The 27,438-nt window shown below is 45.5% G+C and overlaps 1 protein-coding gene across 7 annotated transcripts in view, besides 1 other annotated feature; it reads right to left on the reverse strand.

Moving 5' to 3' along the window:
• The window catches only part of KSR2 (kinase suppressor of ras 2), a 515,979-nt gene that overhangs the window by 404,496 nt on the left and 84,045 nt on the right, over window positions 1-27,438 (reverse strand). For 6 of the 7 annotated variants that reach the window (XM_011538224.4, NM_173598.6, XM_017019208.3 and 3 more), the window contains exon 2: window positions 2,784-2,924. In XM_011538224.4, coding sequence (XP_011536526.1) covers window positions 2,784-2,924 — 141 coding nt within the window. Of the gene's footprint in view, window positions 1-2,783; window positions 2,925-18,176; window positions 18,992-27,438 lie in introns of those variants that run through there. The other variant, XM_011538225.4, reaches the window with a different exon arrangement.
• Window positions 17,555-18,355: an enhancer, noted in NCBI's record as "H3K4me1 hESC enhancer chr12:118312867-118313667 (GRCh37/hg19 assembly coordinates)". NCBI's record gives its function as "activates a minimal SCP1, AML or CMV promoter by ChIP-STARR-seq in naive H9 embryonic stem cells {active_cell/tissue: H9 hESC(naive)}" and the evidence as "EXISTENCE:reporter gene assay evidence [ECO:0000049][PMID:30033119]".

Here is a 27,438-nt window from a genome sequence, read left to right on the forward strand (position 1 = left end):
CAGAAAAAAATCATAAAAGTAACATTTTTATAACATCAAAAATGGAGAAACCCTTAACAAACCTGGGCCAAAAGGGCAGACACACCTCTGTTTGATAAAATAATAGTAATAATAATAGCTGAAATGGATGGAACACTGTTTTAAGGTTTTTGATAGATTTCCTTTTATTATCACAAAAACTACTGAAAGTAGGCACTTTTATCATCACCACTTACAGACTAGGACAGTAAAATTCAGAGAGGTTAGACCACTTGCCTAAGGTCACACAGCAAGTCATTGGTGGAGCCAGGATTCAAACCCAGCTGTTTTACTGTGGAGCTTTCTCCATACTTCAGTCACTTCACAGAAAGGGGACCTCTGGTGGACACATACCTGAACTGCAGACAAAGAGCAGAAACCCCACGTCTTCTCCCGCCCACTCCCTGGGTCCCTGGACTCAAGATGCTCAGTGACTAAGGCAAGAGCCAAAACTCAGGTACCTGCAGGTCAGGTAAATGTAAATGAGCAAATCGCTGCCAGACAGGAGCTCAGTTCAGCATGGTCAACATTTCTGATTTTGTAAGTGAAGCCAGAGATCTCTGGGTTTTTTAGACAGACTCTTTCGGTTTTTAAGTATTGGCTCAAAATAAATGTCCTGACATCATATTAACCAAACAACAACAACATGTCTGCATATCAGAACCAGCTTGAGGGCCACCAGTTTTCAACCCCTGGTCTAGAATCGAATCGTTTCTACCTTATTTGCCCCCACAAGTGGCACTTGATATATAAATGACTCTGAAGCCTCCAAAAGAAATGCCCTGAGCCATGCAAATACAACACTGTCTGTCCTTATACAGGACCATTCATTCTAAGGATATTTGCAAGAAACTCATCTGGCCATACTGGGAATGAAATAAGGAAATACGAGATTGCGCGTGGTCTGATGTGCATATGCAAGATGGGGTGGGGTGGGGGCCTGGAGGAATGGAGCGGGGTGATGCTGCCTCTAACTTGGGATTCTTAGATCTGGTGGGGCTGGGTGAGATTCTTGTCCCTGCGGACAAGGTCTAAAAAAGACAGGAAGCCTCTTCAAGTAGGAAGCAGGGAGCGCCTCGAGAGAGGACTCTTGGTTTCACTGGCAGGGAGGCAAGCTCCTCTTCTGCCCAGCTCTGGGGGGACCCAGGCAACAGGAAAACAAGGCTAATGCACAGTGCTTCTGACCTAAAGCTTTGCTGTCCATCTGAGCTGGACATCCTGCTAGCCCCATCCACTTGCCAGCTAGACTACTCACTTAGCTCTGAGCCTCAGTTTCCCACTCTGTACAAGGGGGATAACAGTCACACCTACTCAAAAGGTCATTGCGAGGAGGCTGAACAGTCTCAGCAGTTGAGATCCTAAGTGCAAAACCCTTTGCACAATGCCTGGCATGAAAGATGCAGTGATGTCCGCTGGTTTTATTAGGTTTGGCTTGGCCCTGTCACTGCAAATGAGTCGGTCTCTGGGATCCCAGGGGGTAAGAAAATCTCACAATCCTCAAGATGTTAAGAACGTGGTCTAATCTTTGAGAGCGGACATAAGATGTCAGATGCTCACAACAGTAACAGGCTGGCATCTACTGAGTGCTATTTGGTGCCAGAATATGAGCTGAACTTTTTTTTTTTTTTTTTTTTTTTTTGAGACAGAGTCTTTCTCTACACCCAGGCTGGAGTACAGTGGTGGGATCTCAGTTCACTGCAACATCTGTCTCACAGGTTCAAGCTATTCTCCTGCCTCAGCCTCCCGAGTAGCTGGGACTGCAGGCGTGCACCACCATGCCCGGCTAATTTTTGTACTTTCAGTAGAGACGGGGTTTTGCCATGTTGGCCAGGCTGGCCTCAAACTCCTGACCTCAAGTGATCTGCCAAAAGTGCTGGGATTACAGGCATGAGCCACCGCGCCTGGCCTGTTTTTTTCGTTTTTTGTTTTTTATTTATTTTTTTTTTTTTGAGACAGGGTCTCACTCTGTCACCCAGGCTGGAGTGCAGAGGCATGATCATAGCTCACTGTAACCTCAACCTCCTGGGCTCAGGTGATCCTCCTCCCTCAGCCTCCCAAGTAGCTAGGACCACAGGCATGCACCACCACACCCGGCTAATTTTTGTATTTTTTGTAGAGATGGAGTTTCGCCATGTTGCCCAGGCTGGTCCCAAACTCCTGTGCTCAAGCGATCCATCTGCTTTGGCCTCCCAAAGTGCTGGGATCACAGGCATGAGCCACTGCGCCCAGCTGAGTTGAACATTTTATAAAAATCATCTCATTCTATGATGTCGGCTATTTAAGAAGAGATGACAATCATTATGCACATTTCACAGATGGTAATATTAATGCTCTAAGAAAGCATCGTTCGATATGGCAGCCACGGGCCCCATTAATTAATGTTAAACACAATTTAAAATCTCAATCACATGTCCTAACCACAAGTGGCTACCACAGCCGGCAGCACAGATAGAAAATATTTCCATCGTAGCAGAAAGTTCCACTGGACAGCGCTGGACTAAGAAGTGAAGTGATTTGGCCAAGGTGACTCTGTGAATATGTGGCAGAGCTGGAGGGTTCTAACTGACTCTGGAAGCACACTCTCAATGACCCCATTCAGACAGCATCAGCGATCCTGAATGTTTTCGTCCAGCACATATTTATTGAGAGCCTGCTATGTGCCAGGGACTGTGCTGGGCACAGCCAGAAACCTGCAGCTCAAGAGCAACACAGGGGGTAGCTGCTGGCCAGTAAGGGGCAGGGGACACAGGGGCCCCCCAGGTCACCTCCAGGACCTCCTTGCGCACATCGACGATTCGGAACCAGTGCCGTAGCTGGGGGAAGCCGTCCAGCTCCGCGTTGCGCTCCTGCAAGGCTACCTTCTTTTTGCAGGACAGCTGCCGGCTGAAGTACTTCACCAGCTTGCTCTGTGGAGACACAGACGAGGACAGAGGACACATCTCAGAGGCAGTGACACAAGGAAGAGAGGCGAGAACCCCCTACGAACCCCCACCCTAAACCCAGCCAACTCTATTTTAAAGACTGGTTCCGCTACAGTGAGATCCAGTTTGGCACCCATCTTTCCACCTCGTTGGTGAAGATGGTCAAACAGGCGGCTCTAGCATCTTGCTTGGGGTTGGGGGAGGCGGCGCACATTAGTACCAGTTCAGTGGAGGGCCTTTTGATCTCACAATTGCACACATCTTTTTCTGTTTTTGTTTTCTTTTGTTTTGACATGGAGTTTTGCTCTTTCACCCAGGCTGGAGTGCAATGGCGTGATCTCTGCTCAGTGCAACCTCCACCTCCCAAGTTCAAGCAATTCTCCGGCCTCAGCCTCCCAAGTATCTGGGATTACAGGCGCGCGCCACCATGCCTGGCTAATTTTTGTATTTTTAGCAGAGATGGGGTTTTACCACGTTGGCCAGGCTGGTCTCAAACCCGTGACCCCATGTGATCCACCCGCCTCGGCCTCCCAAAGTGCTGAGATTACAGGCGTGAGCCACTGCGCCCGGCCTGCACACATGCTTTGATCCAACAATTCCATTTGCAGGAACTCCTCCAACAGACACCCATCCTGTGCAGAAGGACTGTACAAGAGGCTACTTCCCTACAGTTCTGTTTGCAATAGCAAAGGACTGCAAACATTCTGAGAGTCCATCAGTAGGAGACTCGTTACATAAAGGATGCTACAGCCAACAAAGAAACTTATGCAGCTCTAAAATCAAATCACGAAGCAGGCTCTGTACTGCCAGAGAGCAGTCTCCAGGGTACACTGATAAATAAAAATAAATACTCTCCCATTCATAAGGAAAATGTTTCCCTGTGTATATCTTTGTAAATACAGAAACTCTGTCCACAAGGACTCCCAATTCGCTTTTTTTTTTTTTTTTTTTTTTTTTTTTGAGATGGAGTCTCACTCTGTCGCCCAGGCTGGAGTGCAGTGGCGTGATCTCGGCTCACTGCAAGCTCCGCCTCCCGGGTTCACGCCATTCTCCTGCCTCAGCCTCCCGAGTAGCTGGGACTACAGGCGCCCGCCACCACACCCGGCTAATTTTTTGTATTTTTAGTAGAGACGGGGTTTCACCATGTTAGCCAGGATGGTCTCGATCTCCTGACCTGGGGATCTGCCCGCCTCGGCCTCCCAAAGTGCTGGGATTACAGGCATGAGCCACCGCGCCCAGCCGAGGACTCCCAATTCTTTAGGGGAGGGAAGAGGAAGGGTGGGGAAAAAGGGTGGGGGAAACATTTTATTTAAACTCTTTTGTGCTGTTTGAACTGTAAGTCCTACAAAAGCATCCCAAAATTAACTCTTTTAAAATGAGATAGACCTGAACCCAGGCCTCTGGAGGGATCCCATAACATGAGAAAAGAAAGTTTTTTATTGCTGAGTTTGTAAAATCTCACAACATTAACCAAAGAAAGGCAATACCTGTGTGTCTGAGCAGAGAAAACAATTTGGAAGAATAAACTCCAGGCTTCTAACTTGGGTCAAGTATTTCTTTATATACATTTTTTTGTATGCATTCAGTAGTTACCTGAGATATAATATATTATCATCTTTTTTTTTTTTTTTAAGAGACAAGGCCTTGTTCCGTTGCCCAGGCTGGAGTGCAGTGGTGCAATCATAGCTCACTGCAGCCTTGAACTCCCTGGCTCAAGAGAGCCTCCTGCCTCAGCCACCAAAGTAGCTAGGACTACAGGTGAGTGCCACCAAACCTGGCCTATATTATCATCTTTTTAATTTAAAATGTATTTAATAAAGATAATTAAATAAAACAAAATTAGAATTAGGTATGGAGGTGTCTGTGGCATTTTAAAACACAGTCAACCAACATTTATCAAGAACAAAGTCTGAATTCTAGGATCAAAAAATTCGGAGGGCCAGGTGCCGTGGCTCACACCTGTAACCCCAGCACTCTGGGTGGCCAAGGCGGGAGGACTGCTTGAGCCCAGGAGTTTGAGACCAGCCTGGGCTATATGGTGAAACCCTGTCTCTACAAAAATAAAATAAAATAAAATAAAAATCCTCACTCAGGAGGCTGAGGTGGGAGGATCACCTGAGCCCAGGAGGTGGAGGCTGCAGTGAGCCATGATCATACCACTGCACTCAATGCTAACTGACAGAGTGAGACCATCACTCAAAACAAAACAAAACAAAACTTGGAGCCTGGGATGGTTGTCATGGGCTTCTGTTGCTTTTGCTATCTGGTCTCCATTCCCCCCCTTTTTTTTTTTTTTTTTTTGAGACGGAGTCTCGCTCTGTCGCCCAGGCTGGAGTACAGTGGCGCGATCTCGGCTCACTGCAAGTTCCGCCTCCTGGGTTCCCTCCATTCTCCTGCCTCACCCTCCCGAGTAGCTGGCACTACAGGCACCTGCCACCACGCCTGGCTAATTTTCTGCATTTTTAGTAGAGATGGGGTTTCACCGTGTTAGCCAGGATGGTCTCGATCTCCTGATCTCGTGATCCACCTGCCTCAGCCTCCCAAAGTGCTGGGATTACAGGCGTGAGCCACCGCACCCGGCCTTCCATTCCCCCTTTTACCGAAAAGAACATGTCAACTTTCTTTCAAGGAACCTCCCTTCTTTGGCCCACAGTCCATCCGGCTGATGTGAGGCTGTTCCCATTGTATCACCCCATCACAGCTGCAGGATGCGCATGTGACCCAGGCCCCACCAAACAGCTGTACTTGGGTCAAGGGCAATCATGGATCCAACTGGGCCACTGAGACCCCACCAGGACCTCTTCCAAGCACTCAAGACATAGCCATAGCACACCCTAAAGAGCTGCCAGGTGGTGTCATGGAAGACAAGAGCTGCCTGGACCATCGTCCCTGCTGCCATCTGGAAGCCTCCTGACACTGAAGCCCATTTAGAAGACAGCAGAGCCAAGAGATGGAGTCACATTCCCAGCCACACCCATCATCTGAGCCCCAGCAGTGAGCGGAGAAACCAGATCTCCCTGGACTCTGCAGTGATGTGTGCTAATAAATTCTCTTCTTTTGCTTAAGCTGCAGTGAGCTGGATTTCTGTTGCTAAAGCCTCCTGACTCATAGGGAAATTAAAGAACATCGAATCCACCTCCTTGAGGGAGTCTTGGCATCCCTGGTATACTGGTTTCCTGTGGCTGCTGTCATGAATAACCACATACTAAGTGGCTAAAAACAACACAAACATACTGATCTCGCAGTTCTGGAGATCAAAAGTCCCAAATCAGTCTCACGGGGCTAAAGTCAAGATGTCAACAGGGCTGGTTCCTTCCAGAGGCTCCAGGCAAGAATCAGTTTCCTTCCCTTTTCGGTGATCAGAGGCCGCCCGCATCCCTTGGCTTCTGGCCCCTTCCCCACATCACTCCACTTCCTCTATCACCACATCTCCTGCTACTGCCCCTTACCCTCCTACTTCCCTCTTATACAGACCCTTGCAATGATCTGGGGCCCACCCAGACAACCCAGGGCAATCTCCCCATTTCAAGATCCTTATCTTACATCTGCAAAGTCCTTTTTCCCATGTATGGTCACACAATCACAACTTCTGGGGATTAGGAGGTAGAAATGATTGGGGGACTGTTATTTAGCCCACCACACCTGTGCACTTACCCGGGCAAGTGGTTCAACTCTACCTGGAGGAGAGGGGAGGGGCTGAGGAAAGGCAGCCCCAGCAGAGGTCAGGGCCCCATGAGACAACCATCCAAGAAGAGCATCCAGAAATAGCAATGGCCCAATGAAGTGGGGAGATTAGGTAAATACAGAAAACTGAGCAAATAAACAAATCTACTGAGCATTATTTTTCTTCCTGTCTGAGAAGAATGACACGGATGTGGGATAGGAAAAGCTAGACTAAATCCTGTGGTATTGGTTTGGGAAGAGTTACCCCATACATATAGATATAAAAATAAATGTTGATGTAAATGTGTGTATATGTATACATACATGCATTGCGCACACACACATATATATATAGCCTAGATTATCCACTGAAGGGACTGAGATTTACTCCAAAACGTGAGTTCTGGGCTACATTAGTTTACTAGGACTGCTGTAACAAAGTACCACAAGTTGGATGATTCGAACAGCAAACATTTCCAGTCTCACCATTCTGGACGCTAGAAGTTTGAAATCAAGGTGTCGGTGAGGCCATGCTCCCCCTGAAGGCACTGCGGAAGGCCCTGCTACAGGCCCCTCTCCTCACTTCTGAGAATCCCGTGGCTTGTGGCAGCCAAACTTCAATCTTCACATAGCATTCTCCCTGTATGTGTGACTGTGTCCAAATTTTCCCTTTTTACAAGGACATCAGCCATATTGGACTAGTATGAACTCATCTAAACTAATTACATCTGCAACAACCCTATTTCCAGATAAGGTCATATTCTGAGACATTGAGGATTAGGATTTCAACATTTGAATCTTGAGGGATCACAACTGGAACCAGAACATGGACGTTTGAAAGACACCAAAAGCAAGAATGAAGCCCTGACCACCCCCGTCTGACCATCTGTCTGCAAAGACACTGCATTCATCCTAGATAAGGGACCTGGGTGACAGAACGAGACTCCATCTCAAAAAATAATAAAAATAATTAATTAATTTAAAAAATAAAATAAAAAACTAATCAGGTTTAAATTACTAAACATTCTTTAAAAGCCAAATATATCATTTATCTAGTTTGTTTAAAGTACAGGTTACAGTTATACTGCAAGATAATGTACTTTTAATCGGATAGAAAACTGTGTCTTCCTAATTTGTAATTTAAGTTCTGATTTTGAAATTAGTAGGGTTTAACTTAATCCATCCTATTTATAGAAATTACATGAAAGATATACAAACTTACATCATTGGCAATATCTGCAAATCGGGCTTTTTACCAAGTGGTTTTCCTCAGCCTTTTCTTCTGAATAAATGACGTTTTACTGTTCATTATTCTATATCTATGTATGCCTATGTTGTATTTCAAACATTGCAAAAGAAATAAGGATCTGGTCCCTTTAAAAAATAATAATAAATGACCATGCTTTATCAACTTCTTTTCTTTTCTTTTCTGAGACAGGGTCTCACCATGTTACCCAGGCTGGTCTTGAACTCCTGGGCTCAACTAATCCATTCACTTCAGCCTCCCAAGGTGCTGGAACTACAGGTGTGAGCCACCATGCCCAGCCTCAATTTCTTAAACAAAAGAGGTAATATCAACTTGGAAGCCAGTGACGTCATGCCTCGTGCCTTTAAAAAAGTCACAGAAAATTGAAAAACTAGGCTAAGACCAGAAGTTAAATGGCAGGACCAGTGGAACCATGGTACTACCTTATGCAAACATCTGCTGGAGAATAGTAGTGTTTCCCAACTGTAGGTATCACTGATAACTTGAGAGGTGGTACCCAGGCATAGTGTTAAATAACATCGTATCATATAGCATAGCGAGCACTTTCTTCTCTGTCCAAATTTTTCTCCAGCCATCTGACTATATCAAGGAGATAGTCTCTGTTGAATGATACTATGTCTTTAACAACTCTCTAACCTCTGTAACACTTGCTAATCTCTCTCTTTTTTTTTTTTTTTTGAAACAAATTCTCACTCTGTCGCCCAGGATGGAGTACAGTGGCATGATCATGGCTCACTGCAGTCTTGACCTCCTGGGCTCAAGCCATCCTCCCACCTCAGCTTCTCATGTAGCTGGGACAACAGGTATGTGCCACCATGCCTGGCATGGGCCACCACACCACGCCTTTTTTAATTTTTTGTAGAGACGGGCTTTACTTGGTTGCCCAGGCTGGTCTCTAACTCCTGGACTCAAGCACTCCTCCTGCCTCAGCCTCCCCAAGTGCTGGGATTATAGGCATGGGCCACTGCTCTCTTTATAACGGAGCACAGGACACAGTCTCAGAGCCTTGGGCAGATAACAATATGCAACACAATTTCATGACACTTGTGTTACATTGCATTTATTTTCTTCATTGCCTTCCATTTATGCCAAGTGATACTAGTTTTCCATTACAATAGTTACACATGGCTTAATTTTTAAATACATGTATGTTAAAAAATTGAGTTGATTCGGCCGGACACAGTGGCTCACGCCTATAATCCCAGCACGCTGGGAGGCCGAGGCTGGTGGACCACCTGAGGTCGGGAGTTTGAGACCAGCCTGACCAACATAGAGAAACCCCATCTCTACTAAAAATACAAAACTAGCCGGGCATGGTGGCGCATGCCTGTAATCTCAGCTACTCGGGAGGCTGAGGCACGAGAATCGCTTGAACCCGGGAGGCGGAGGTTGCAGTGACCCAAGATCATGCCATTGCAGTCCAGCCTGGGCAACAAGAGCAATACTCAGTCTCAAAAAAAATTAAAAAAAAAATGAGTCGATTTAAAGAAAATACACAGATATGGCAAAAAGTATGATGGTGGTATCAAACTGATGCATTTGGAGAAACACTGTCCTACAAAAGAAAGTTCTGACTCCTTAAACTATTACTTGGGGCTTAACCCTACTCCATTTCTCCTTCCTTGCCTCATTCATTTCCATGTAATTCCCTAAACAGGGCCAGGCACAGTGGCTCAAACCTGCAATCCCAGCACCTTAGGAGGCCAAGGTGGGAGGATCGCTTGAGCTCATGAGTTCGAGACCAGCCTGGCCAACATGGTAAGACCCTGTCTCTACTAAAAATACAAAAATGATCCAGGCATGGTGTTGTGTGCCTGTGGTCCCAGATACTCAGGAGGCTGAGGTGGGAGGATGGCTTGAGCCTGGGAGGTCGAAGCTGCAGTGAGCTGTGTTCATGCCACTGCACTACAGCCTGGGCAACAAAGCGAGACCTTGTATTTAAAAAAAAAAAGGGAAAATTCCCTAAACACATGCAGGACCCCAAATGTCACCTCTCTGATTCCTCCTGTCTGGAAGTCCTTTCCACACCCACCTGAGGAAGGCTATAAAAATGACCTGAATCCTTTACACCCCTCCTGTGTCCATACCCTTTGCAATGTCACTTTGCAGTTAATTCACCAAAGAGGTGCAGTCTGTGTCCACGCCTTTTCAATGACGCTGGCCATGTGACTTGCCTCGGCCAATAGGAGGCCTGTGTGCTTCTACCTGCTGGCTTGGACCCCTGTCATCTTCATAAGAATGTGCCCAGGCTAGTCAGCTGAAGGATAAGAGACTACATGGTGCAGAGTCAGGTTTTCCCAGACGTCCCAGCCAAAACCATCCTAGCGCAGTTGACAGCCAACTCTTGCCTGGCTATTGGCTATAAGTGAGGCCATCTCAGATCAGATGAGCCACCAATCTACTGCTGATCCCAGAGGCATGGCCAATAAATGCTTATGTTATGTGCCACTGGGGTTTTGTGTTTGTTACACAGCATTATGGGGACCCGTAGCTAACTGATACACCACCACATCAACGCATGAAAATCTGAATTTTTCTCCAAAGCCCACCTCAAATGCCACCTGCTCCAGCAGGACCTTATAAATTCTTTCTTGGGACTTTATAAATTCTTTCTTGGGACTTTATTTATACACACTGTGTTATAGAATTATTCACAATTTTTCTTGCATTATAACTGACTGACAAAGAAGACACTAGATCCCTTAAAGGGTTAAGGTGTCCTTGCTAGATTTGGAAGAGTAAATGAAATAAATATAACAATAAAAATACGGCCGGGCACAGTGGCTCATGCCTGTAATCCCAGCACTTTGGGAGGCCAAGGTGGGTGGATCACCTGAGGTCAGGAGTTCGAGACTATTCTGGTCAACATAGTGAAACCCTGTCTCTACTAAATACAAAATTAGTCAGGCATGGTGGTGCACATCTGTAGTCCCAGCTACTCAGGAGGCTGAGGTAGGAATCTTTTGAACCCAGGAGGTGGAGGTTGCAGTGAGCCGAGATCACGCCACTGCACTCCAGCCAGGGCAACACAGCAAGACTCTGTCTCAAAAAAAAAAAAAATTAAAAAGAAAAAACAATAAAAATAAAAGTACCGTTACTGAGCACTTCCCCCATGTGCCAGGCCCATGCTGAAGGTCACACATGCATTATTTCAATATATCCTTACATTCCCAGGAACTAGGTCCTATTAACATCTACATTGTACCAAAGAAGAAACTAGGCACAGAGAAGTTAAGTCATTTGCTCACAATCACACAGCTAGTAAGTGCAGAGCCGAGATTCAAACCCAGTCTAATTCAAACACTCCAAAGTTACAGAAAGGATAACCTCATTTTAATTTATTTTAATTATTTAATAAATGCATGCATATATTTTCTTTTCTTTTTTTTTTTGAGACAGAGTCTTACTCTGTCACCCAGGCTGGACTGCAGTAGCGTGATCTCAGCTCACTGCAATCTCTGCCTCCAAGGTTCAAGCGAGTCTCCTGCCTCAGCCTCCCGAGTAGGTGGGACCACAGGTGCGTGCCACCACACTCAACTAATTTTTGTATTTTCAGTAGAGATGAGGTTTTGTGCCACGTTGACCAGGTTGGTCTCGAACTCCCGACCTCAGGTGGTCCTCCCACCTCGGCCTCCCAAAGTGCTGGCATTATAAGAGTGGGCCACCATGCCTGGCCGCATATATTTTCCTTGTAAGAAAGTTAGAACATTTCAGGCCAGGCGCGGTGGCTCACGCCTGTAATCCCAGCACTTTGGGAGGCCGAGGTGGGTGGATCACCTGAGGTCAGGAGTTTGAGACCAGCCTGACCAACATGGTGAAATCCCAACTCTACTAAAAGTGCAAAAATTAGATGGGTGTGGTGGCGGGCGCCTATAATCCCAGCTACTCAGGAGCCTGAGGTGGGACAATTGCTTGAACCCAGGAGACGGAGGTTGCAGTGAACAGAGATCACGCCACTGCACTCCAGCCTGGGCGACACAGCAAGACTCCATCTCAAAAAAAAGAAAGAAACAAAGTTTGAGCATTTCAGATAAGGCCAGAGCTCCCTTTGACCGCTCCCACGAATGCAGATCCCCATCCCTGGAGGTAGAGCGGGTAATCACTGAGACTAGTTAGGTGCCCATCTTTCCAGATGTTGATCTGTGAATTTTCACAAATACATACAGATCTATTGAAACTCTGCAATGTGGCTTTCTGTGGACGATTTCTTTTTTCCTCTCACATAAATGATATCATACAGCATGCACTTTTGTGCACTTGCTTTTTTCACTTAGTAGTAAGCCCTGAGGGTCTTTCCCCGTTAGTTCGTACAGATCTGCCTCGTTCTTTTTAATCTTCTGCATGAAGGATTCCTTTGATACCTGGGTGAAAAGCCCATGATGTGAGCAGTTCTGTGATGTCTGCTGGGACGCCTTTGTCAACGACAATAAAGCATTTTCAGGAATAACAGCCACCATCACAGCTGCCATGTACTAAACATTTACAGTATGCCTGGCATCGCAAGCCAAGTGCCGTGAATGTGTTTGTTCCTTTTAATCCATGTGACAATGCTAGCTGTGAGGCTGGTACTTTCAGCCCATTCTACAAACAGGAAGACTGAAACTTCAACAGGCTAAATCATTTGCTGAGATCCACAGAGCTATTGAAATGGGAGCACCAGGGTGTGATCCCAAAGCTCTGTCTCTTTACCAGGACACTATGCTAGGAGCTGTTCACGGCTCCTTCCCACTGACCTGGAAGTGCAAAAGTTGGGCATCGACCCCTCAGGGGCAGAGAGAGGGCCTTATTCATCTTAGGAAGCCTTCTAAGTGAATTCCCGAATTCTAGCTCTGAGGTTTGGGCAAGTCACTTCAGCTCTCTGAGCCTCCACTTTCTCATCTGTAAAACAGGTGTATTCCACCTTTCCTCGCAGGCCTGCTGAGGCATTACATAAGATATTCTCAGCCAGACGTGGTGGCTCACACCTTTAATCTCAACACTTTAGGAGACAGAGGCGGGTGGATCACCTGAGGTCAGGAGTTCAAGACCAGCCTGGCCAACATAGTGAAACCCCATCTCTATTAAAAATACAAAATTAACCGGGTGTGGTGGAACATGCCTGTAGTCCCAGCTACTCGGGAGGCTGAGACAGGAGAATCGCTTGGATTTGGAGGCAGAGGCTGCAGTAAGCCGAGATCGCACCACTGTACTCCAGCCTGGGCAAGACGGAGCGAGACACTGTCTCAAAAAGAAAAGAAAAGAAAAAAAAATTATCTGTGCAGTAGATACCCCATACACTCATGTCCTACTTGTTGAAGGGGGATGTGGATTCTGGGGAGGTGTTTCCCAGGTCACCAAGAGACTGAGATCCTGCGCTTGCCAAGGAGCTAGAACCAAGGGGTACTCCAATTATGATACATTAGAAATGGGAGGAGTGAGTTTAGGAAGCAGATGGAGTAAAGGAGACAAGTGGGGACAGTGGCCTTGAGTTCTGGCCTTGCCCTTGAGGCAAAAGGGAATGAGAATCATCTTGGGGAACAAGAGTGTACTCAGCCGAGCAGGGAAAAACCCAGAAAACTGCACAGAGTGTGAAGCTGTGTTGGGCAGAGATCGAGCAGTGCTTCCCAAACAGGGATCCTGGGAAAGAGCAGCTCTTTCTCCTAGTTTTCCAGGATTAATGTTGCAGAAAAACTGTAGCTGTCAGTTAACAGGGATATGCTTCGAGCCAAATGCTGTAATGAGCACGTTTTATGAATTATCTTCTTTAATTTTCCACAACGCTGGAGGAATGTGATATGGGTCCAATCACTGTCCCCATTGTACAAAGGAAGAAATTGAGACCTAGAAGTGTCAAATAACTTGCCCAAGGTCATCAAGCTACTAAGCGGATAAACTGGGATTTGAACCCAAGTCTAACAAACTCTTATTAACACACAAGGAATGTCACGCCAGGCCAAGCGCGGTGGCTCACACCTGTAGTCTCAGCACTTTGGGAGACCGAGGCAGGAGGATCACTTGAGGTCAGGAGTTCAAGAGCAGCCTGGACAACATGGTGAAACCCCGTCACTACTAAAACTACAAAAAATGGCCGGGTGTGGTGGCGTACACCTGTAATCCCATTTATCAGGAGGCTGAGGCACGAGAATTGTTTGAACTCAGGAGGCGGAGGTTGCAGTAAACCAGGAAACCGAGATCGTGCCACTGCACTCCAGCCTGGGCAACAGAATGAGACCCTGTCTCAAAAAAAAAAAAAATGTCAGATGAAACCACACAGCAGCCAAAACAAAAGGTATAGTATAACCCTAGTTTCTGAATGCAAAATGCATTTATACAGATAGATAGATATATATATTTGCACACAGAGAGAGAGAAAAGAGAAAAAAGGCTGGCAACTGCATCTCTGGGTTATGATAGGTGAAATTTATTTTCTTATTTCTGTCCTTCTATATCTTATAATTTTTCAATAAGATATGGATTTTTTTTAAGAGAGGGGGTCTTGGTATGTTGCCCAGGCTGGTCTCAAACTCCTGGCTTCAAGCAATCCTTTCACCTCAGCCTTCTGAATAGCTGCAATTACAGGCACAAGCCACTATTCCCCATTTATTTTTCTATAAGCCTGAATTACCTATATGATAGTAAGTTACAAATCACTTGAAAATCAGACATTTGCCAATCATAAAGACACACAGGCCATCCTTAATGTCAGCCATCTCATTAAATAAGTATGACAGGCATTAAATAAATATGCCAGGCATTCTGCTACGTACTTGATACATTATTTCACTGAACCATCACAGTAGCCTCAATAATAACCCCATCTTATTTACAAATGTGAAAACAGAGAACCACAGGGTTTAGGCAGCTCACCCAAGGTACTAGATAATTTCACATTATTTCCCTCTTTCCTCAGTTTCCAATCATAAGCTTCAACTGAAGATGTCTGTTAAAAATCAAACATTGCTACTCGTGAGGCTGAGGCTGGAGGATCGCTTAAGGCCAGGAGTTCAAGACCAGCCTGGGCAACATAGCAAGACCCCCATCTCCACCAAAAATTAAAAATTAGTAAGGCATGGTGCTGTGCACCTGTAGTCCCAGCTACTGGGGAGGTTGAGGCAAGAGGATCCCTTGAGCCCAGGAGTTCCAGGCTGCAGTGAGCCATGAATCACACCACTGCAGTCCCACAGGGACAGCAGAGCAAGACGCTGTCTCCAAAAAAAAAAAAAAATCAAATTTCTAGGCCCATCTCTTAGAAATTCTGATTCAGTGAATCTGGAGACAGCCCAGGAATCTGTGAAAACACTGAGGACTCTAATGGTTCCAAGAATCAGGCAAGCATGAGAAACATCCCTCTACTGTCTGAACAATTACATAATGAAAGTAGTTTCTCAGTCAAGCCGAAGGATCTGGGTCCTTGGACAATAAACACAGGGCAGAAACCCCATTCTAGAAGCCAGGGTTCAGCACCCTCAACAATCAGTCCCCTCTCCAAGGGCTGTGGGCTCATTTGTACAATAGGCTCATTTTCCAAGCAGCTTCCAAAGCAGTCAGCACCTGTCCAGGCCTGAAGGGGCTCCCAGTGGGCAGGGAAGACAGATGTGCAAATGCAAATCACAAGGCCACGTGGCAGGAACCAGAACAGAAGGGCAGCCAGGGTTCAGTGCGGGCATCAAGGATGCCAAGTCAAGAGAGACGCCTTTTAAAAAGCCATGTGCCCGCCAGGTACAGTGGCCTGTAATCCCATCAGTTTGGGAGGCCGAGGCAAGCAGATCACCTGAGGTCAGGAGTTTGAGACCAGCCTGGCTCACATGGTGAAACCCCATCTCTACTAAAAATACAAAAATTAACAGGGCATGGTGGCGCATGCCTGTAATCCCAGCTACTCCAGAGGCTAAGACAGGAGAATTGCTTGAACCCGGGAGGCGGAGGTTGCAGTGAGCCGATATGCACCACTACACTCCAGCTTGGGCACCAGAGCGAGATTCTGTCTCAAAAGAAAAAAAAAAAAAAAGGCCATGTTCCATATCATAAGATAATAATAATGGGAGCTCCACGTTTATTCTAAGAGAAGCAAGGCCTCATTCGTTCATTTAAAGATGTTCATGGTGCTTTTTTTTTTTTTTTTTGAGATGGAGTCTCACTCTGTTGCCCAGGATGGAGTACAATGGCATGACCTCGGCTCACTGCAACCTCCACCTCCCGGGTCCAAGCGATTCTCGTGCCTCAGCCTCCCCGGTAGCTAGGATTACAGGTGCGTGCCACCACACCCGGCTAATTTTTGTGTTTTTAGTAGAGATGGGGTTTCACCATGTTGGCCAGACTGGTCTCGAACTCCTGACCTCAAGTGATCCGCCTGCCTTGGCCTCCCAAGGTGCTGGGATTACAGGCATGAACCACGGCGCCTGGCTGAGGTGCTTTCAAAATACAGACAACAAGGGATACAAAAATCAACTACACACCACCCCTGCCTTTAAGGTGGGCTATTTCAGGTGGCACCTGAAGACAGGTGCCTTATCTGTACCTTTGGATAAGCACAGAAATCAAGAGAGAGCATTTAGATACTTTTATAGCTATTTGATGGAGTAGTCTTATGTCTATTCAATCTAATTTTTTCAAAGTGAGCACTGGATGTTGTTTGCGTTTTTTTGCATTTCATTTCCCTCGCAAATCATCTTTATTCTATTTCACAAAAGTATTGGCTGCAAAATGTCAGAAAAGATAAAGCTGATTCTTTCTTTACCGCAGAAGGCGGGAAAGGCACTGACCCTTCTACTCGGTGAATTTCAGGTATTCATCTTAATCTACCAACATCTCTAAATAAATTATTTTCCAGAATGGTTCCTTGAGTATCATGACAATGCTGAAGTGAGTGTTAGATTTTTTTTTTCAACTTGTTTTGAGACAGGGTCTTGCTCTGTTGTCCAGGCTGGAGTGCAGTGACACAATCATAGCTCACTGCAGCATCAACCTCCTGAACTCAAGCAATCCTCCCACCTCAGCTTCCCAAGTAGCTAGGACCACAAGCGTGTGTCACCACACCCAGCTAATTTTTTCATTTTTTGTAAAGGTAGAGTCTTGCTATGTTGCCCAGGCTGGCCTCAAACTCCTGACCTCAAGCAATCCTCCTGCCTTGGTCTCCTAAAGTGCTGGAATTACAGGCATGAGCCACAGTACCTGGCCCGATTGTAAATATCATTCTACAGATGGGGAAACCAGGCCTTGGAATTGCTGGAATTGTGCCCGTGATCACACAGATAAAGCAGCATCGGGATCGTGATTTGAACTCAGGACCTCTAGTTCCCAGTCCCGTGCTCTCTTCACGATTCTCTGCTGAAACAGACCATCAACGGTTGAGAAGCACAATTAGAAAAGGGCCTTTGTATGGCTTCACCCTGCCAGGCGGCCTAATTGATATTTAGGTCGACCTCAATTCAAGTCCATGCAGAGCCAAACTGAAGAAGAAGAAGAAAAAAAAAAACCCAAAGGTTCCATCTTCAAATAAAGAAACACAGGACTTTTGGAAATAGCACATCTAAGCCGAGCCCACCGTCTGACTCTGCACTGCCCAGGTGTAGAATGAGGTCCCCTGGGCCTGGGGTTAGAGGGATCACAGGTTGCGGAAATCCGACGGAGCTGGAGCCCGGAGGTGTAATTTTCCATCTCCACACCAGGGGGCAGCCTGGCACCTTCCACGACAGATGGAAAATTTTCCGGGCCTTGGCCCATCCGAGCATCCGCAGCGCCTTATTACTGTACTCTGTATTAGCATGGCGGTAAATTTAGCAGCATAAACAACAACAACAAAAAAAATCAAAAAGTCAAGACATGTGACAGAGCTAAAAATAATTGTGTCTGAAATCCCTAATGTGAAATGGGGAACTTTTCACTCCGAATCTAAACCCAAATCCAACCCAGAGACCTCCGGGAACGTCCTGGCCGTTGGGTTTGACAGAGCTCCAAATCCTCACCCCTTAGGTGCTATTTTTTTTTTTTTTTTTTAAGAACGAAAGCGGAGTCCGTGAAAGCTGGGAGGGAATGCAGGACACCATGGGGGCCTTCTAGGGACCAGGCCCTTGCAAGAACCATCCCTGGTGTAAACCTCGCAGCAGCGCCAAGGGAAGGGGCTTGGCTCTCAGCCCATTTTACACACGAGAAAACTGAGGCTCAGTAATGGAACAGGGCTGGCCTTATGGTCACACACATAAAGAGGCAGGCTCCAGAGCCCTCTGTGTCCCTCAGGACTGCCCGTCAGCACCCCATAATCGCTGCCTTCTCCCTAAAGGTACACATGAGCAGCAAAGAGCTCCAGCCTTTGAACTTGCTTGTCCCACCGGCGAGAGCTCTTCTGTCAGCTTTAGGCATAAACAGCCCTTTCCGTTCCTTCAGGTGTCACCTCTGCCCAAGCTCCTCTCAATGCCACCATCACGCCGCCCTGCTTTCTTTCCTTGGTGGCACTTTGCTATCTCACAAATCATCCTGTTTATTGGTTTCCATGGTTACGCCTCCCCCCCACCACCACCACACACCCATCATGTCAGCTCAAGAGAGCACGGGCTTTGCCTGTCATTTCCCCAGCGTTCAGATCCGTGCCTGGCATACAGTCGGTGCTCAATACATTTTTCTTGGTCTTTCAATAAACCAACATCCTTGGTGGTTAAACGCCAGGCCACTAAAAATAAATCCCAAGTCCTTTTCCAAGCGGGCACAGTGCACCTGCAGGACCGGGTCCCTGGTTGTGTTATTAAGGTTCTCGGGTGAGCAGACCCCGTGCGGGTAATGAAATCGCGGCAGCCACAGCCAGCAGCCCCGACGCCTTCCCGCCGTTGCCAGGGCGACCATTGTCATAACATCCCTGGCGCTTGGCGGCCCAGCTGACGGGGGAGAGAATTATTTGACTGGAGAACGTCTCAAGTAACCGGCCAATTTGCATCCACAAGAAAATCCCCTGCTGAGGGAGGGCTGGAGGCCTGGGAGAGGCGCCCTTCCTTCTCTCCCCAGCCCTGGATCCCAATGAGAACCGGATCCCTGAGGCCAGGCAGAGGGACCCAACAGTCTGGGGCAGTCCCGCCGAATGCTGGAACACAGGCAGCTGCCTCTGCAGGAAGGAAGAGCCCCCCTCTCCGCTGTCTCACTATTGCTGATGGTTTTTCCTTTTCTCTACGTTATTACTGCTGATGGATATTACAAACAATAGAAAAAAGGGTTTATATATTTAATGAGCACTTACTAGACAGCAGGTCCAGTAGTAATAACTTCCTTACACGATCCTTATAATTTTAACATTTACACAATAATACATTATGTCATATTTATACTATATATGTATACTGTATAATGTCATCATAGCAGTCATAGATCTCCCATATGTGATAATTCATATATAATACATAATATAATTTGAAATATATATATTTATATATATATAACAATATTTATATTATGCAACATACACAGGTTGAGTATCCCTTATCCGAAATACTTGGGATCAGACATGTTTCAGATTTCAGATTTTTTTCAGGTCTTGAAATCTTTGCATTATACATCATGAGCTATCTTGGGGATGGGACCCAAGTTTAAACACGAAATTCATTTATGTTTCATATACACCTTATACACATAACCTGGAGGTAATTTTGTACAGTATTTTTAGTGTGTTGCATTAAACAAAGTTTGTGTTAAGTTTTTATGTGTGGAATTTTCCACTTGTGATGTCATGCCAGTGCTCAAAAGTTTCCGATTATTGGGAGGCCAAGGCAGGTGGATCACTTGAGGTCAGGAGTTCAAGACCAGCCTGGCCAACATGGTGAAACCCTGTCTCTACTAAAAATACAAAAATTAGCTGGGCATGGTGGTGGGCGCCTGTAATCCCAGCTACTTGGGAGATTGAGGCAGGAGAATCGCTTGAGCTCGGGAAGTGGAGGTTGCAGTGAGCCAAGATCGCACCACTGCACTCCAGCCTGGGTGACAGAGTAAGACTCCATCTCAAAAAAAAACTTTCCGATTATGGGACATTTTACTTTTTAAATTTTGGATTAGGGATGCTCAACCTGTATTATATATTTATAATAATAAAACTCACATTTGTTGATAGTTTTTATATGCTAGCCCTGTGCCTACTGCTTTGTGTTAATAACGCTGTTACTGATAAATTATTATACAATATATTCATAATCACAATCATAGCTAAGTCTTATTGAGCACTTACTATGTGCTAAGTGCTTTATGAATATTATCTAATTGTCATATGCACTCTAAGGGCTAAGAACCATATTATTCCCATTTTGGAGATGAGAAAAAGAAGCACAGAGTAACAATGGAACTTGCCTAAGGTCACATGGATAAAACACAAGGAGGGAGGCTGCCCCCAAGCCTGTCCCCTTCCTTATTTTTCCATAGCACAGTTCAAAGTTGTCAAACTTTGTAGCAAGATCACCTGGGGAGCTTGTTAAAAATACACATGCCAAGCCCCAGCTTCAGCCCCAACCCAAGCCTACGGAATCAGGCACTCCTGGGGACAGGGGCTTCTCTTTTCTTGTCAACAAGGTCCCCAGATAGCTCAGACAGAGGCAGAGCTCAGAACCACTGCATGGGGCTTTGCCGCCCGGCCCTATGAGAGATGGGTTCTTTATTTGTTGTAAATATCACAGTTCCCATTGGGTGATCTGATTAAATGAATGAGTCTTGAGGGGCTGAGATGTGGAGAGGGCAGCTTTGAGTTGGGTATGCAAGACCAAGAATCCCAAAAAGAAGGAAGAGAAGCAAGGGGCAAAATAAGAATTCAGGCAAACTTAACTTGCACCACCGTGCAAGAATTCAGGCAAACTTAACCTGCACTAATCACTCCCGGCCTTTTTGGAACCAAAGAGCCCTTCATGAAAAGTAAATCAATAATAACACACGCTTTCATCCAGGGCTGGCTTTTGCAGGGCAAAGCCAATCCGCCTAAATTCCCTCCCACTGGTCACCACCCCACATAACACACACACTACCTGCCCCCTCTTAATCATTCACCGGGGGCCAAGCTGGACAGAGAAATATCAGCTTGCAGAGTGGGGACCCACCCTCAGCACCCACATTTTGAACAATGGGACCTCCTGCAAGTGGCAAAAAATAGATGATGTTGTTAAAAATAAAATAAAAATTGGTGGCAGGTGCTGTACTAGGGGAGGCAAGGCTAGGAGGAGGTAGGCAGAAGTTCTGAGACTTCCACGCCTGTGGCCCCTGCACTGCTGGGGGTACTGAGAGCAGGACGCCAAGTAGCAGCCAGAGAGACATGCTGCTGGGGCTACTGTAAGCAATGCGTTGCCTTATTAGCTATGGCTGAACTAAGAAGCAAGCAGAGTTAAGATCCCAGACTCGAGGTAAGAGCAGATGAATCTGGGATAAAACACACATGTCCTGAAAGCAGGTCTCACTGCAGCAATTGCTAAGCAGCTTCCCACTTTGGCCACAGAGGCTGTTCCATCTAGAGCTGCAGAGAGGAACTCCTCCCAACAGAGAGGCAACTTACCACATACAGCTATTTACGGTCACGCTGGAATTAACAAAAGTTACATAAACAATCAACATAGTGAACAAACAAAGGCCATAGACGCATAGTGAATCAACATGCATCCTATCGGGGTCGTGGATAAAAAATCCAGACAACACGCCCACCGAAATCACTGGTCATTATGCGACCTCAGGCAATCAGGGAATTCAACTCCCCTCCTACTGCCTGGAAAAAAAATTCGTTAGAATTTAACCCTAGAATTGTGTGACATAACCCAGTATTCTTAATGGGGTGCATCTTGAAGTTCTAGGAAGATCCAGAATGAATTATAGGTATATTTCAGATAAATAATCCCATGATATTAATATTTGAATTAAAGAGATCATACATTTTGGGAATTTTATTTTATGTTCTTTTAATGTTATATAATTTAGCCAGTTAGAGTAAGAGTTCACCTTTCTAAGTCTAATTTGAAATGTGTAACTGAATAACTAATTTAGACATGTATTTTAAATTGAAATTCTATTCAATTTATGTACAATATTATTAATAGAAAGCAACTTAAGGCTAGGCATATTTATAAGTTTAATTTTTCAGGCTTATGGGTTACATAAGTAGTTGAGAAGGCTTGTCTGTCAACAATTAAAGAGTAGTTTTTTAAAATCCTGTATATCTGCCTGGGCAACGTGGCAAAACCTACTCTCTACAAAAAATAAAAAATAATTAGCCAGGTGTGGTGGCACACACCTGTAGTCCCAGCTATTCAGGAGGCTGAGGTCAGAGGATTGCTTGAGCCCAGGAGGTGGAGGCTGCAGTGAGCCATGATTGTGCCACTGCACTCCAGCCTGGGCGCCAGAGCGAGACCTTGTCTCAAAAACAAAAAAGAAAAAAAACTGTATATCAAATTTATAAATGCAGTTTAAATTTTTTGAAGATGTTTAATTAACCAACGTTGCAATTGGGAGCACACATTATATAAAATCTCCTTATACCTGATTGCTGGATTTTGTTAGATTTATATGAATAGGTCTGGGCACAGTGCCTGTAATCCCAGCACTTTGGGAGGCCGAGGCAGGCAGATCACCTGAAGTCAGGAGTTCGAGACCAGCCTGACCAACATGGCAAAACCCTGTCTCTACTAAAAATACAAAATTAGCCAGGCATGGTGATATGTGCCTGTAATCCCAGCTACTTGGGAGGCTGAGGCAGGAGAATCGCTTGAACCTGGGAGGCGGAGGTTGCGGTGAGCTGAGATTGTGCCATTGCACTCCAGCCTGGGCAACAAGAGCGAAATTCCATCTCAAAAAACAAACAAACAAACAAAAAAGATTTATATGAATAGAACAATACTGTGTGAAAGCATAGGAATAAATAGAATGAATTTTTGCTTTAATAAATTAAATATTAATTTCTAAAACCAAAATATAATTACATGAAAGTAAAAATTCAGTTCCTTGATCACACCAACTATCTTTCAAATGCTCAATAGCTGCTTGTAGCCAGTGGCTCTTGTACTAGACGGTGCAGACACAGAATATAGCCATCGTCTCATGGGGAGTTTCTTCTAAATCTGCAGACAATTTTTTAGCAGATCTCCTGGGAAAAAGCACCCCAAGCCCCCCCACCAAAGAGAAAATTTAACTCTTTCTATTATATTCAGAATTGTCCTAATGGAAAATACAGGCTCCTGAAGAAAATGAGACAAGTTATGAGGCAGACCTGGGCTGGGAGGGATGGAAAACAAGGCAGAGAATGCTGGCCATGAAATTTACCCTAGGCCAAGGACGACCCAGAAAACCTGCCGGAGGAAGCCGTAAACATCCACTAACCCCTCCTCATATTATTTTATGACAGAATTTTGCCAGATTCTTTTTTTTTTTTTTTTTTTTTTCTGAGACGTGAAACCTCCGCCTCCCAGGTTCAAGCGATTCTCCCACCTCAGCCTCCCAAGTAGCTGGGATTACAGGTGCACACCACCACACCCAGCTAACTTTTTTGTATTTTTAGTAGAGACGGGGATTCACCATGTTGGCCAGGCTGGTCTCGAACTCCTGATCTCAGGTGATCTGCCTGCCTCGGCCTCCCAAAGTGCTGGGATTACAGGCGTGAGCCACCATGCCTGGTCTTTTTATTTTTTTTTTTATGGCAGAGTCTCACTCTATCACCCAGGGCAGATTTTGGAGCATTCTAATTAGGATACTCGACCTATACCAGATTTCAAGTATCTCAAGGGCCGGGGCCTTGTTTTTGTCATCTTTGCATCCTCCCAACAATGAACATGATGAGTTTCCCCGGAATAATTAAAACTATGGAATGGATTCATGAATCAATGAATGAATGAATGATGTGCAAGAATGAAGGCCTTTTCCGTAAGCAACAACCACAAATGCCTAATTGGTCCAGGGTTCAGATTCATGGTCTCAACTCTGGGTTACTTTTTGTTAGTGTTTGTTTTGGTTTGTTTGAGGGTACAGAGGGGGCTTGATGAGGAAGAGACAGAAACACTACAGACCGGCCACTCCAACCAGCTGCTCCTACCTAGAGATGAGGTGTTGTCAGCAGACAGAAGTGAAAAGCAATTCTTTCCAGAGAGAAAGATCCTTTTCACTATGTAACCCTTGTTAGTATGGTGACTGTCCCACCAAGTCTGTGCTATAAGCCCCGCTGTGTCATTTCTCCCAAGAATCTCAACAGCTAGAAAGTGACAACAACATTCCCCATTTTGCTCAGGCTCTTTCTGTATAATATCTTGAATTCTTCTTATGAAATTCTTATGAACCTATAACATTGGCCACATTATCCTCATTTTACAAATGAGGAAATGGAGGTCAGCTGACTTGCCTTGCACAATGCCAGCTGGACAACAGCAGAGCTGACCCCAGCCTGTCTGGCTCCAAAGCTGCTGTCTTTCCACAAGCCATGGTGACCATCTGAGTTGGGAAGAGACAGAGCCATAGGCCAAGGTTGAGAATTGAAGTCCAGCAGGGTCTGTTAGTGACTCAATGCATCTTTGCCCAATTAATATTAATATTTCTTGAGGTTGTGAGAAGAGAGAACAGAAGACTGAATGGTTTAGGGCCACACACCCAGTACCAAAGTCCTCCTATTCAGGGCTGCTCCAAAGAGATGCTGGAGTGTCCTGCGCATATTTACAAAAGGATATACATTTCCCTGAAATCTCAAAAGCAACTGTAAGTCTCAGGATGGAAATGCCATGGCAGTTAGAGAAGGACAGACCACTCTAAGAGGAAAGTACCTTGCACTTTCCAACAAGGCTCTCAAGGGGCTCAGAGTCCAGTGGAGCAGACAGGGACGTGCACAGCTCCCTCAGCACACTGCAGGGGGCAATAGGCACCATAGTAGCAGCACAGGCCAAGTGTTCAAAGGACAGGGAGATGGTTTCTGGGAAAGACAATCTGAGAAAGCTCTCTGGAGGAGGTGGCATATAAGCCAGGCCTTGACAAGCACTCATAACTTCCCATTTCCAAATTGCCGTTCAACTACCATCTACACACACAAACACACCCACACTGGCTTCCACCTGAGCAGAGATGAGTCACATTTGGATAGGAATGTTGAACTGCATGAACCTTGAGGTTCCTTTTAACCCTGGAATTTTATGGTTACAGGGATCTGAGAACTAACCATTCTTCCATCCATCCATCCATCCACTCATCCTTGCAACCATACACCCATACATCTAGCCATCTATCCATTCATCCATCCAACCACCCATCCAACCATCCATCCAACAATCCATCCATCCTTCCATCTATCCATCCATCCATCCATCCAACAATCCATCTATCCATTTATTCATCCAACCATCCAACAATCCATCCATCCAACCATCCATGCAAGCATCCATCCATCCATCCAACCACCCACCCAACCACCCATCCATCCATCCATCCAACAATCCATCCATCCATCTGTTCATTTATTCATCCATCCATCTATTCACTTATTCATCCATCCATCTATTCATTTATTCATCCATCCATCCAACAATCCATCCATCCAATCATCCATGCAGGCATCCATCCATCCACCCATCCATTCATCCATCCAACCATCCATCCATCCAATTATTCATGCAACCATCCATTCAATCCAACCATACATCCAAGCAACCATCCATTCAATCCAACCATACAGTCAACCATCCATCCATTCATCCAACCACTCATCCATCCATCTCTCCCTCCCTCCCTCCATTCATCTATCCATCCATTCATCCCTTCAACCATCCATCCATTCAGCTATCTATCCATCTGTCAAATAAAAGTATTTCACTCCTGGTACCCATCTAGCACCATATATTAAAAACATAAGGAAACTGGGATTGACTATCATCTTAAAAGCCAATTACATCACATCAGGCATATCAGGCCATGCAGAACTGTTACATCCAAGTGATACAAATTATAATTACTGTTATTAATAATAAAAAACAGTTTGCAACCAAACACATAGTAGAATCAGATAAGATAATGTTTCTAAAATGCCTCTCACAGTGCCTGGCACATAGTAGATGACGAAAAGTTGATTTCCTGTAAGTGTCAACCATTGGGCTAAATCCTGAGATAAAATTATGAACAAGATAGGCTTGGTCCCTGCCCCCATGGAACTTCTATTTGATAAGTGCTATGGTGGCAGCAAAGAGCTCAGAGCATATAACAGAGAAGGACAGTTGGTACTACCCGGACCAACCAAAGAAAGTCTCCCTACAGAGGGGATCAGGCAGCCAGGCACAGAAAGGTGTGCAAAGACCCTGAGGTGGGAAAGCACTTGGTATGTTTCGGGAATTCAGAGCTGGAATATTATGGGCAAAAGGGAGATAAAAAGGAGTAAAACTCTGTCTCTACTAAAAATACAAAAATTAGCTGGATGTGGTGGCAGGCATCTGTAATCCCAGCTACTTGGGAGGCTGAGGCAGGAGAATTGCTTAAACCTGTGAGGCGAAGGTGGCAGTGAGCCAAGATCGTACCACTGCACTCCAGCCTGGGCGACAGAGCAAGTCTCCATCTCAAAAAAAAAAAAAAAAAAAGGAAATGAGGTCAAAGAAGCAGAGACAGGGGCTGGGTCAAGTAGAACCTACTACAGTCACGGAAAGCAGGTGAATTTCATTCCTATGCCGTGGGGAGCTTCAGAAGTTTTTTAAACAGAGAGTGACATTATCTGATAAAACAGGAAAATAATGCCGTTTGTCCTGCAAAGCAACCTAGTGAGAAATGGGTCTGGCCAATGTCACTGTGCCCATCTTACAAATAGAAAAACAGAGGCTCCAGACAATGAAGGGCCTCCTCCATGTCGTCAGGACCTCAAACTCTGAACTCACCCAGGCTGAAGGTGTGCTCCCCGCTCCTGCCTCTAAATGATAGTGCCCCTCCTGCAGATTACATCTCGGCACAATTCCCAATCCCAGAGCAAAACAACACAGGCAAAAGGAAGAGAGAAAAAGGGACATGAGAATGAGAATGAGAATGAGACCTTGCCAGCTCTCAGCACAATGTTCTCTGTGACACATACTCAAGTTGGCATGAACCTTTTCAGCTCTGCATCAGAGAGGCAAAATCCTCCACCATGCCAGCTCTCGCTAGAACTGAACACAGTCTTCTGAAAGGGAAATTTCTAAAGTTCTCTTGCTTGTAGCAGCAAGGGGGAGAAGCATCTTGGAATCCTGATGACCAGCAAGCTCCACATATTAAGTTTCCACCAAAAGTTGATACTCAGAAGAGATGCCAAAAACACTGCCTTGAGACCAAAGAAACACACAATCTTCTAATTCTGGTGGATGTGCAAGTTGTTATACCTTTATGAAAAGCAATCTAGCAAGAGCATTACAAACTCAAGTTAGATGTCCTTTGACCTCTGTGGCTGTGGCATAGCGAGTGGAAAGAAGTGATGTAGAGTCTAAGTGCTGCACTGCCGAGACCTCTGTAAAACCCACTTTGGGGAAGGAGGCACTAGAATTCACCAGCCATCTCTGTTTCCTTCTTCTCTACCATCTGCTCCGTTCCTCTTTACTTTAAACCTCACCAGCAACAAATGGATTAGAAACAACCATAGCACCTGCCGTGTAGGAAAACTGCACAGAA

This window comes from Homo sapiens, chromosome 12, assembly GCF_000001405.40.
Source record: "Homo sapiens chromosome 12, GRCh38.p14 Primary Assembly".
In the NCBI taxonomy this organism is placed as follows: domain Eukaryota; kingdom Metazoa; phylum Chordata; class Mammalia; order Primates; family Hominidae; genus Homo; species Homo sapiens.